The 12,997-nt window shown below is 37.8% G+C and overlaps 1 protein-coding gene across 5 annotated transcripts in view; it reads right to left on the bottom strand.

The window, feature by feature from the left end:
- Positions 204 to 12,997, bottom strand: part of AFF4 (ALF transcription elongation factor 4) — an 88,240-nt gene continuing 75,446 nt past the window's right edge. For all 5 annotated transcript variants that reach the window (XM_006714587.5, NM_014423.4, XM_047417103.1 and 2 more), the window contains 7 exons: positions 12,906 to 12,969; positions 12,655 to 12,791; positions 12,330 to 12,401; positions 11,119 to 11,212; positions 9,885 to 9,928; positions 8,149 to 8,369; positions 204 to 5,995 (listed from right to left, as the gene is read on the bottom strand). In XM_006714587.5, coding sequence (XP_006714650.1) covers positions 5,868 to 5,995; positions 8,149 to 8,369; positions 9,885 to 9,928; positions 11,119 to 11,212; positions 12,330 to 12,401; positions 12,655 to 12,791; positions 12,906 to 12,969 — 760 coding nt within the window. In that variant the 3' untranslated portion in view covers positions 204 to 5,867. The remainder of the gene's footprint in view (positions 5,996 to 8,148; positions 8,370 to 9,884; positions 9,929 to 11,118; positions 11,213 to 12,329; positions 12,402 to 12,654; positions 12,792 to 12,905; positions 12,970 to 12,997) is intronic.

Below are 12,997 nucleotides of genomic sequence, written 5' to 3' on the forward strand. Positions count from 1 at the left end.
ATTTCTGTTGGGACAAGGTGAATTTTGACATATGCACAAGGACCCATGGCCAGCAAGTTCAGAATTTCTGTAATCAGAAAATGAGACCTCAGCTGGTGGGAACAGACTTTTAAAGAGTAGTAACGGACCTTAAGACACAAAACAGGAATTGCATGAAAAGGGCTCAGAGTTGAAGAAATATAAAGAGTACAGTGTTCAGTAACTTTAATACAGAAAATCTATTTGATATTTATTAAACTTAGTTTCTCCAACTATGGTTTGGCATTGTACAAAGCATCTTAATGACACAGTAGAGTTAAAAAGATCTTTACAAATTGAAATGTGATACCCTTGTCTCCAAATATTTTAATTGCCATAAATTTGTTTAAAAATACACATTAAACGCATGTTTGACACTCTAAACTTTCTATACTCTCAATACCACAAAATACATATAATATACTATACAGATGTGGAAAAATCTAGTTAGTATATAATACTTTGCTCACCATTAACAGCTTTATCGTGTGAAATGCACATACTGACTTAGAAATCCTAGCTTTTGAGCCCCAAAGTACCTCTGAAATTGTAATGTATTGCAACAAATAAAAATCACAGTATATAATTGAAATTCTGGTTGAAAATGTCAGATGCCTAAATATTTTGGATAAAAGAAATGTAAAACAAAGATTTGGTTCATGTACAAAACAAAGGCATCCTTATCAGTCACTAACAGTACCTTTCTGCAAAATCAACAGGCTTTTAATTTATCAGTGACATTATCTCCCCTCCAAAACCCTCCCCAAATATCAAACAATTATATACCAAATAATTTTAATTTCAAATAAAAGGATTTTCAATAAATATATAAGCATTTCCATCCTCCATATACAAAATTTCTTAAAACCATTCAAAACGGAGGCTAGATAGAAATTTTCATAACTGTGCTTACCAACCCCACAACTGGCCCTTAAAGGTGGTGCCTTTTCAGGCAATGTCAACTGGCCAGTTCTGTTGGTGAGCCCCCTACCCCCACCCCACCCATCCCAGTACTGTTGAATGCTCATGTTAATGATTTGCCAGGTGTGTGCATAAAGTTGTAAAATGGGGACACTTCTGGAACACCAACAACAAACTCAACAATATGGATGATCATGGCATTGATTTGAAAGGCAGCATTTCCAAATTGATATTTTCCAGAGAGGAACATAGCAGGTAGAAAATTCCAATGGTTAAAAGCTGAAAAGAAGTCCCACATGGAAGCAGTAAGAGGTCAAAACTGAGTATCACTAGAGTTTCTGGGTGGGAGCTTTTTTATTTTTAAGAATGGCAAGTTATGTTTAGCTGAGTAACAGTGGCAAGGAGAGGTCAATGCTGACATTCCTGAAAGTCAACTTCTTTACATGATGACTACTTAGGCTGCTATTTTAGGATACTTAAAGATCTCTAAGACTTGGATTAGACTTAACTTGAATACCTTATTCTGTGACCAAATTACATGAAAAGAAGATACATAGTTATTATTTCCATTCCCTTTTCTGGAGACAGCAAGTTCTTTCTAATTAACCATAGGGTTCATGTGAATAGGAGCTTTGTAAGACCAGCATCCACTTTACAGACTATTAATAATTTACTTTTTGTCACTTGCTAACTTGGTTTTGGGGTCTAGAGGTCTAAAGTGAATTTCTCCATTAGCGAGTATCTGAAAGACATGCTCACAAACATGAAAAATTTGGCCTCTTCTCACTACATATTCCAAGGTATTCAATAATTATCTCTTCTATTAGTTTTACTGAATAGCAACCTTAGATGTACAGTATTATTACTGGAAAAAAAGCCTGCCTCTTCAATACATTAATGCATAAAGCTGAAATGAAATTTATGTTCCATGTATTAGGGGATATACAGGTATGATAGGTGTCTATATGGGTTTGAAATGCTCTGTCTCCCCAAGTTACTTAGGTTTTTTAAAAAACATCATCACAAGCTGCCTAACAGTCATCCCCAGTAGATGTTCCTGGGACCCAGACACAAACTCCTATAAATCAAAATATATAATGAGGCCATACTGTTCAATTAGCAACTGGAAAATTAAAATCTTTCCCACCCTGTAAGAGCCCTACGACACTACAGAAGGGCTCAAATACATTTTAAAAGTTAATTTACTACAAATCATAGTAATTAAGCTTTAACAATCTAAAGGAATACACATTGCACCCTTGAACATTAATATTCAAGGTGTCAACAAGAAAGTGTCTTAGATCAATTTAATAAATAATGTGGAAATAGTTGCACTAAGCTAAAATACTAAACACACACATATTTGACAAACTAATTTCATGTTTTCATACATACATACATATATATAAAGTGTGTATGTGTACAGAATTTTAAGATCCAAAGTTGCATACCCTTACACCTAGAAGAGTGCACAGTGTACTCCTCCTCTATATAACTAGGCATCACTGACTGGAACAATCACTGGCTGCTCTGAAACTCCAGAGTACTGGCCTCTAGAGCCAGAACTTTCATTTATAACAAGTGCCTTTTGTAGGCTCTTGCTTCAGAATGCAAGCTCATTCATGAAGAAATGTACCAACGTTTCTGTCATTAAATACAAAATTATGCTGTCTGATCTGTCTGATTAAACCTTTAATGAAAAGAAACGAACAACAATTTTTTAAAAACTAGTGAATCTAATAAAGCCAAGTGTGTCATTCAAAGTGCAGCCCAAGTGCCTATGAATCCGCCACTGCCAGAGCTCCCAGAAACACAGGTGTCTGTGGGCTCACGCACACTGCTCTCAATTGTTTTTACACTAGAGAATTAAATAAATGGTGGTCAACCTTCTCCACTCTTCGGCAGCTGTAGCTGTAAGTTTATCTGAAGTACTCACTGCATATAAAGTCACTTCTTGGCTACTTGCCCAGAAAAAGGTGGCACTGAGGCAAGGAATGGGCTGGATGCTCTCTAGCCAGACTGGAGCCTGGGCTGAGCTGTGGAAACTCCCCTGAAGGGGAATGCTTCCCACAGCCCAGCCCAGTCTGGCCCAGGCAAGACTACTGTGACAACTGCAACCACTGCAATTGGTTCGTTGGTTGCTTGTAAAGAGTCTAATGGTGTATAGGCTGCTGCCTCCTGGCATACAAGTGTAGTCATAAAGAGCAGTCAACAGAGTAACTGTTTAAAATAGTTGTTGTTTCTATAATTAACCATATACTAAGTACAAGTCTCAGACTAAGTTTTTAGCCACTTGTCAAATTCAGTTTTAAATGCTTAGAAAACACTGAGGACACCTATTGAGGAGGGAGGGGGGAAGGTCACCTGTAAAGGAGTCCAAAGTATGTGCTGGAGCAGATGATGACAAAGACAGAACATCTAAGAAGATAGACATGGAGGAAAGGGAGTAGTATTTCCACACACTATGACATTGAAAATTCAATCATTTATGATAGGATTTTGATCCATTGCCCATTACTACCTTGTGGGAAAAATCCTCCACAATGAAAAGGTTGAAAAATTCATTCTCCAAAAATTGACACAGTTTTAAAGAGAAAATATTAGAGCAGCACCATAAACCATGCAGGAAACTCTGCTTTAACAAAATATCAGTGTGACCCCAAAAATGCTCCTGCTGCCTTTCAGGACATACAAGAGACTAGAACACAAGAACTCAGAGGTATCCCACTGGCTGTTGTTGCTGAAAGTCTGAAAGCCCAGAGGATACTTTTTCCATTTCTAAGACATCACTGCAAATTAAGGAATCCAAGTCAGAAAAATCAGAGAAGGACAAGACATAACATGTATTTGATTAACAACCATTATTTCTTACTAAATAACTATCATGATCATTGAGAAGTTGTCCTCTTATGGAAAACTGTTCCTAGAACACACTAAGATTAAGTTAGAAAGATATCAGAGGCAATTTCTCCAAGAGAAACAGGTTAAATTCAACATAATTTGTACATCTCAATCTTCAATGACATCTAAAAACAATCTGAGGTACAAAACAGTTAAGAAGCTCTATAAATATGAGGCCACAGGGACAATGAAAGTTCACTAACTTCAGAAATAAGTGTAAAAAAGTCTCAAACACAAAGGATTCACTGCACTACTGGACTTGAAACTTTTCTATCCCTTCTTTCCCCTTTCCTATTTCAAGCCTTAGCAATCATCTACAAATAGTAGGATAATCTTTTTTTCTGACTGAATGGATTCATTTTTGGAATGGGGAGAGGGACAAACTATTTTTCAAAGCAGCATTACCCAACTGGTTAGACTAAGTCATGTACCAAAGCAATAGCTTTTCTGAAAGAACTAATCTTTATATGACCCTAAAGAAAGATTTAAAATGAAAGAATTGAACATTATTATTGTAGAAGACCAATCATGTATGGACGATCTGGTCCTAGTGTAAAACTTCATTTGTAAACAATCCATAGAGTCTTCATTTAAAGGTAAGATTTAAGGCACACCAAACATGATAGGGGCATGAAAAATAAAGTATAGAGGGTACATTTCTTATCTTAGACTTCTATATGCACCTTGTAGCAAAAGGTACTTTGATATACAACTCTTACAGAGCCAGCTTCTTTAAGCTCTACCCCTGGCTCCACTCCCTGTCCCAAGAGCTCACACTGAATCAAGTTAGGTACACTTTTCTAGTGTGAAATTTTCTGATTCCATCAGAAACATACATCATTGAAGAGGGCCTTCATAATGCAAAAGGAGTAAACAGAAGATAGGTTTAAAAAGGAGAAATTCATCATCTCTACATCAGGCATTAGAACTGTAAGCTGTATAGCAAAAGCACACACCGAAGCTCCAGCCTATTTCTGTATCAGTCATTGCATGCTCATATCAGAGCATCACAATCCAGTATGAGGGGGAAAAATCTGAAAAATAACTCTAACTATCAAAGATAATCAATTAAAGACACACAGGCGGCAATCCTCAGGAGTTGGATCATCCTTTTTTCCACAGTAACTTATTCTGTTTCGATTAAGTGTCAAATGATTAGCAACAAAAAATAACATATGGTTTTAATAAAATCCGTAACGTTCAGGATTGTCCTTTTATGAAACCCTTCAACATGAAATGCTTCTTCTAGAAAGTTTGTCCTCCCTCTTTTGTAATGCATTAAATGCAAGCTATAGTCACTGTGTGATTGCTGTAGTGTTATTAACACACATTCACAGTTTTTGAAATAATGCATACCAAATCAGACACATTTCATAGTACATACATGTAGAATGCCATTTTCTCATATTTAAGTGATTTTTTCATGTGTAGAAGAATATCCTTAATACTAACTGTAAATTCCACAATAATAAAATTGGAGTTAAGATTTCAAATATCAGGTCAGGTAGCAGGTGTAGAAAGAATATGTCCTTATTTTAGACGAACCAATTCTTACTCTTAGAACAGCTACCACAAAAAGATATTAGGTAATAAAGCTCCCAAGGTATATAAATAAAAATGTCTACATTAAATTTATGCTAAATATTCAACAGAGTAAATTTATAGGCAGAAATAACTAAGTCTTAAACTAGCCCCAATCTGGGAACTTAAAAAAATTAAAATAAATAAAATTTCAATTCATTAGTTATGAATTGCAACTGGAATTTCAATCTTATCATAGCTCACGGAAACCATCTTATCAATGTGCTGCAGATTTAAAAGCATTTAAATAATCTTTCACATTGGAAATATTAAAGGGCCAACTGACATGATCGCTTTGGATTATCAAAAACAACAACACATGAACCAACGAGGAGAAAACTATTCCTCATTCTTAGTGTCGACTAGGTGGTATGTTATGGCAGTTTTCCTTCGTGATGTGACACAGTGTTGTGGAGAAAATCAGAGGCAACGAGAATGTGTTCAGTTCAAGATATCAACTTGGCATCCTGGCGAAGCCAGTGCAGTCCCTGCCGGGTATAACGAACTAGATCTGTCATGATGCTTGCATTAAAGATGAGAGGGCCCATTACTTTATCCAGTTCAGCAAAGAATTCTAGAAAACCAAAAACATTCATTAAATGATATATACTCTTTTGAATCACTGCTTTAAAACTATGAGTAGAGATTATAAAACAGCATTCATAAACTCAAAAAATACCTCCTCCTACACTAAAATGCTTACTGTCCATGTTTTAGAGCAAATCATTCCATAGTCTCTCAAGTTACATTTGTTCCCTAAGTCATGCAACATTTTAAACAGAATGTATGGTCAGAAATTAAGTGTTATATATAAGCAGGATTCCATGAATGGAAATGATAAATTGCTATTATGCAGTAGATATTATTAAAATGAAGATTTAATGCCATAATGTGCTACTGATTACTCAAAACATTTTGTGCATTGCTTTTGTATAAGAAGCAAGTGACACAAAAAGGAGGACATTCTTTGCCTGTTTCCTGTAACAGCCTCTGTGAGGTTAGACACTTAAGATTATATCAAACTTTCGGCTACCATCATATGCCATGAACCAACTGATAACTAAATCCCATGTTTTTATTTATTTTCATTTATTTTTAGACAGTCTCCCTGTCGCCCAGGCTGGAGTGCAGTGGCGCGATCTCGGTTCACTGCAACCCTGGTCTCCTGGGTTCAAGCGATTCTGCTGCCTCAGCCAAATATAAAATACAAAAAAGTTTTTTTTTTTTTTTTTTAGTAGAGATGGGGTTTCACCATGTTGGCCAGGCTGGTCTCGAACTCCTGACCTTGGGTGATCCACTCGCCTTGGCTTCCCGAAGTGCTGAGATTACAAGGTGTGAGCCACCACACCCGGCCACAAATTATGTTTTTATAAATACAGCTTTATGTTGAATGTTGGGATTCCTAGCCTGGGCAACATAATGAGACCTTATCTCTACAAAAAGTAGAAAAATTAGCCAGGTGTGGTGGCACACATCTGTAGTCCCAGCTACTCAGGAGGCTGAGGCACGAGGATCACTTGAGCCCAAGAGGTAGATGCTGCAGTGAACTGTGACTGTGCCACAGCCTGGGCAGCCTGGGTGACAGAGTAAAACCCTGTCTCAAAAAAAAAAAAAAAAAAGTTGGGATTCCACTTTTACCTTTCACCATTGCCTCTCTTTAGGGATAGGAATCTTTCATTTTCATCTGATTACCTGTTCACGCTGTAAGTATTTAAATGTACTCTGTGACAAAATGACACTTGATTGGCTAATGTAGTGTTTCTCTGTAAAGGATCTGCCTAAAGAGAAGCTGCATGCACATATTTGCTAATAACATCTACTAAATAAAATGGTGGTTATACAGTACTTTCCACTAAGGTCTTCAAAGACTTTATAATTCTCCATGTCCTTGGTTTGGGAAATAATAAACTTTTAAAGGGCAAAGCCTCAAACAACCTAATTTTAAAGAATGTTAAGAATTCTGGCCGGACGTGGTGGCTCACACCTGTAATCCCAGCACTTTGGGAGGCTGAGATGGGCAGATCACGAGGTCAGCAGTTCAAGACCAGCCTGGTTCACATGGTGAAACCCCATCTCTACTAAAAATACAAAAATTAGCCGGGCATGGTGGCGGGCACCTGTAATCCCAGCTACTCAGGAGGCTGAGCAGGAGAATCACTTGAAACCGGAAGGTGGAAGCTGCAGTGAGTCGAGATCGTGCCACTGTGCTCCAGCCTGGGCAACAAAAGCGAAACTCCATCTCAAAAAAAAAAAAAAAAAAATTTCTATTCATTCCCTAGTCTCCTTTATTTCACAGGTTTCTTCCAATATACCTAAAAATCCAGTATGAGCATGCTTTCTTATACATTAACCTTCTCAGATGTACAGATGTTTGGATGTAATCTTATGCCTATTGCCAAATTTACTGTTAACCATCCTAGGGTAGGACATATATTTTATTACTTTTATGGTATGAGCTGCATTTAATGTGCCAGAATATAAGCACATTTGTCTTAGTCCAAGAACTATTTTCAGTTTAGTTTTGTCACCAGAATCATGAGAGGTATCTTTTGACCAAATTCAGTTTCATTTATTGTTTAACTGCTAAGCAATGAAGACTATTAACAAACAGATTATCATTAACTCTAAATAATAAAACTAAATACAGACTAAACGCTTACTTAACTAAATTATAAAAGTTCCTTCTAACAATTCCATCCCTTGAAGTTTATCCAGAAACCTACCTACCTTTTTGCTCTTTGGAAAGCTGTTCAGCTTGGTCCCAAATTTCGGTGGCATAGAGGAAGTTGGATGTGACCTGAACATAGCTGGCTGCCATCTGGTGGATCTTCTGTGGAATGGTCACTGAAGAACCACTTGCAGAAGCACTACTGGCCCCAGATGAATAATTTCCTGAATTGCCTGGTGACAGCTTTGGAGAAACAGGGGAAGGCATCCCCACAGCTTTGCTACACAACAGAAATAGGAAGCTTGTTCATATGGACATGGTAAGCATTATAAAATCAAGTACTACTAGCTCTTTCTACATGAAAGCATTTAAAATGTAAAGATTCTCTTAAACTAGATGGGTTTTCAGAGAGCTACAATTTCTTCTAAATAAGTACTATAATCTTGTAATTCATAATCTTGTTATCTTAGAATCTGTAGCCTTTGTTTTAATGAATAACAACAAAACAAGAGATGGACAATAACTGAAGAAGTCATGTACCTTGTTACAGTTCAAAGACTTAAAAGCCAGATCCCCTCACTCTCTGCTCAACACTTTCCATCTGTTCGGGCATATAATTACATATTTTTTATACTGTTTTGTAGAAAGTTTGGTGGAATTCACATTTAACCTAAAAAACTGTGGTAGAAGATGGGAACATCTTTTATTGAACTCCACAATTTCTGACACTTTCCTAGTTTAACCAAATTACTCAGAGGTAACAAAGAGGTACAGCTCTCTCAAGCAACTGTAATCACCCCAAGCTTCCTGCCAATTAAATATTTCTTAGAAAACATACATGTTGAAATCTGGCAGGTTCATTTCAGGAGTATTAAAATTTGTGAAATGTTCAAGACTATGATCACACACTAAAAGAAAGGAAAAATCAAAAGTTGGGGTAAAAATAAACTTGTGTATACACATATATACATATTTTGGAGACACTCATGCTCTGTCACCCAAGCTGGAGTGCAGTGGCATGACCTCGACTTACTGCAACCTCCACGCCTCCCTGGTTCCAATGATTCTCCTGCCTCAGCCTCCAGAGTAGCTAGGATTACAGGCGCGCACGACACCACACCCGGCTAATTTTTGTATTTTTAGCACAGATGGGGTTTCACCATGTTGGCCAGGCTGGTCTTGAACTCCTGACCTTGTGATCTGCCCACCTCGGCCTCTCAAAGTGCTGGGATTACAGGCGTGAGCTACCATGCCCGGCTTGTTTGTATTTTTATCTGCACTTTTAGCATTATAAACTTATGTAAGAAAATACACACAGGACAAAGAATGTCAATTCTTATAAACATAATAACTGAACAGATACAATTTAAAAGGTTCCATGGTGTTTTTTATCCTTTGGGAGATAGGTGGGATGAAAGTGACGTGGAGATGAAGGAGAAATCACAATCATGTCATTGTTACTAAATTCTGGCAGTGCCAAGATCTGACTAAAGATAAGCCTGCTGTGATAAGTCCAAGTAACTATGGAAATCAAACTGTGAAAAGGGTTGAGTGCTAGTAAAAACTCAGATTTCTTAACAGGTGAAACGTCTCATATCTAATCTTTATGATTATGTTCATTTATATTTTCAATTCCTAAAAAATACAGAGAAAAAATTATAACTTCTAAAAATATTTTATCAGAGATGGTTTTACTTATTTAAAAAGTAGTCATCTTTCCATTTTTGGAAATTGGACCATACTCATTTCACTTTTATTGCCACAATAATATTTTACATAATAAAATTTTACCTACCTTCCCAAGCCAGGCGATGGTGCTTGAGAATTATTATAAGAATTCTGTGGAAAAAGTAAAATGTACTTAACAACAACAAAAACCACCACTACTTTAAGAAGTTCTAAATATATTTAAAAGCTTTGGGCAAGAGCTCATCGTGAGCAGCTGTAAATATTTAAGACACCAAAATACGTGTGTGTGTGTGTGTGTGTGTGTGTGTAAAAGTACAAAAGAAATAAATTATTAGGTGAGAGCTGGGTGTTCTGGAAGACTTCACAGAAGAGGCAAGGAAATAATGAGTAACACATGGATAAAGGGAAGGGGGATACATCCCAGCTACTCCCAGCTACCTGGGAGTAGCTGCAGTGAGCCATGATCGTTTTTTTTAAAAAACTCCCTCTTAAAAAAGGGGTGGGTGGGTGGGTGGGTGGGGAGAGGGGAGAGATGAATCATACTATGCACAAAGGCTGCAGAAAAGACAGTGTATGTGCCCCATGCAGTTTGCCTAAAGCAGAGGTTTAGACAAGGAACAAGAGACCCCTTGGGGCCAGGGTAAGGAGTTTAAACTTGACCCAGCAGGCAACTACTGAAGGGTTCCAAGTCATAATCAGAGGCAGATTTTAGGAGGATTTATGTGGTACTGGCCTGAAGAAACATAGGAAAATCTTTTAGGAAACTAAGATAGTAGTCAGAAAAGGATGGCATGAAAACAAAAGACTTTTTGTTTGTTTTTGAGACAGAGTCTCTCTCTCTGTCACCAGGCTGGAGTGCAGTGGCATGACCTCGGCTCACTGCAGCCTCCGCCTCCAGGGTTCAAGCGATTCTCCTGCCTCAGCCTCCCAAGTAGCTGGGACTACAGGCGTGTGGCACCATGCCTGGCTAATTTTTGTATATTTAGTAGAGATGGGGTTTCACCATGTTGGCCAAGATGGTCTCAATCTCTTGACCTCGTGATCTGCCTGCCTCAGCCTCCCAAAGTGCTGAGATTACAGGCGTGAGCCACCGAACCCGGCCGAAAACAAAAGATCATTTAAAAAGTAAATACAGCCGCTGCACATGGCTATAAGAGTTCTACAATCAGATACACGTAGATTAAAAAACTCAAAGAAACCTCAAACTTATTTGAAAAGTCCCAAACAGTAGCTCCTCCCCTGGTGTGTTTTGCATAAACATGAGGGCAGTTCTCAGATGGGGATGGGAGACTACAAATTCTGTCTCCTAGGAAACGGACCTTGTGCTTTTGCATACTTACCTTCAGGTGCTCTGTCAGTGTCTTTGAGTACTTCAGAGCATTTTCCTTCTTCAGTTTGAACAGCCTCAGGTACAGCAAAGACTCGCATCGCAGGCTAGCCAATGGAAAAGGGCGGCTTATTTACCAGGACAGCAAACTCTGGCCAGATTTGCACAGACAGCCTTTGCATTGTGCAGGAGACTGGCTCATGTGACCATGGCATAGGCCACAACATTAACCGTTAGGCAAAACCAACAGATGTGTTCTTATTGTGGTACACATCCTAGGGAGGGGAAGATGGCTAAGAAGCCTAGGACTAGGCTCTCATTATTTGCTGACATTCCAAAATCCAAACCTTATCCATAGGACACCAACATGTCATGAAGTTTTAAAAATTACGAAGGGGTAGAATTTCCAAACCAAAGTGTAAACAATCTAAAATTAAAAAACAAAAACTAGGAAACTGAACTGCAAATATTACAAACCACAACATAGCTTATAAAGACCGTGCAGGATCATCCCTGCCTATCTCTCCAGTCACACCCACTTCTCGCTGGTCTTCTTTTAGTTCCTTGAAAGTTTCCCATTCCTTTCCACCATCCAGCCCTTGTACATGTTGTTCCCTCTAAATAGAGTAGGTCTCCCTACCCTCTACTGTTACAGTTACATATACTTTTCTTTCAAAATACTTAATTCATATGGACTTGTATGATGATTTGATTTCTGTCTTCTCACACTAGACTATACTCCATGATGAATAGGGCTGTGTTAGTCTTCTTCTTAGCTGCATTCCCAGTGTTAAACACAGTGCCAGGTAAAGTAAAGACCTGTAACAATCGAACTGATAATATCTCACTGGGATGAAGCAAACAAGTCACATCCTTTATTCTGAACAAACTAGATGCTTGCTCCCTAAGGAAAAGTATATGTGAATGGAGAGAGCGGGTACCAAATGAAGAGTGTGGAAAAGTGATTATTCAAGACCATGGAGGTTTCTACTATCAGTCTCACAAAGCCAAGGCTTTCATCAAGAGGGAAATGGATCAGAGACTGACAACAACTCAAACCTTTCAGTAGGAATTTTGAGTTACTTCCTGCTTGACCCATCAGGAACAGATTTAAGACAGGATTACAGAAGTCTGATTCAAGGAAAACATTCAGAAGAGCACACACAGCACTATTTATTATAGAACTTCCTGTATCTAGCAGAGGCTAGAACACAGAAAACTCACCAAAGTACTGTGAGTCGTTTATCTGCAGCTGTAGCATCTGGTGCCAAGTAATTCTTTAGCTTCATAGTGTATCTGTTGAGTTACAATAACAAACAAATGACAAACAGAATACTTCACCTTGATCTTATGATTTCACTTGTCCTCAAAACATTAGAATTTCAAACCTAAATAAAAGCAAAAATACTCATTGAAGTATCTACTTCTCCTTTATCCAAGGACATTAAAGGATTATACACCCTCTTCAGTTTACTATATATCAGCCTCTTCCTTGATGGACCAGAGAAATAATGTTATTGCCAATGATCTGCCAAGTTTTTCCACTTACTTGATGAGATCCACCGTCTCTGAATACATAGGGAATGGGGATTTGGATTCCTGAGCATTCTTCTCTAATGCATTCCCACATTCAATGAAAGATACCACAGCATCAAGATAGTATACAGCTTTCTCAAACCTATCAGACTGAAGAAAGGAGAATGCAAGTAATGAGTAATGATCTACTATGGCTACAAACATCAGAAGATTACTTAAGTTAATTTGATTAAATACGTAAGTGTAAGGAGAATATCTACATACCAATGCATCTGCATTGTGCTTTAGCTTTTTTGCTTCTTGTAAATAATGGTCTGCTGAATAATTTCTGCAAGACAAATTTTCATTATAAATAG

This window comes from Homo sapiens, chromosome 5 (genome assembly GCF_000001405.40).
Source record: "Homo sapiens chromosome 5, GRCh38.p14 Primary Assembly".
Classification (NCBI taxonomy): domain Eukaryota; kingdom Metazoa; phylum Chordata; class Mammalia; order Primates; family Hominidae; genus Homo; species Homo sapiens.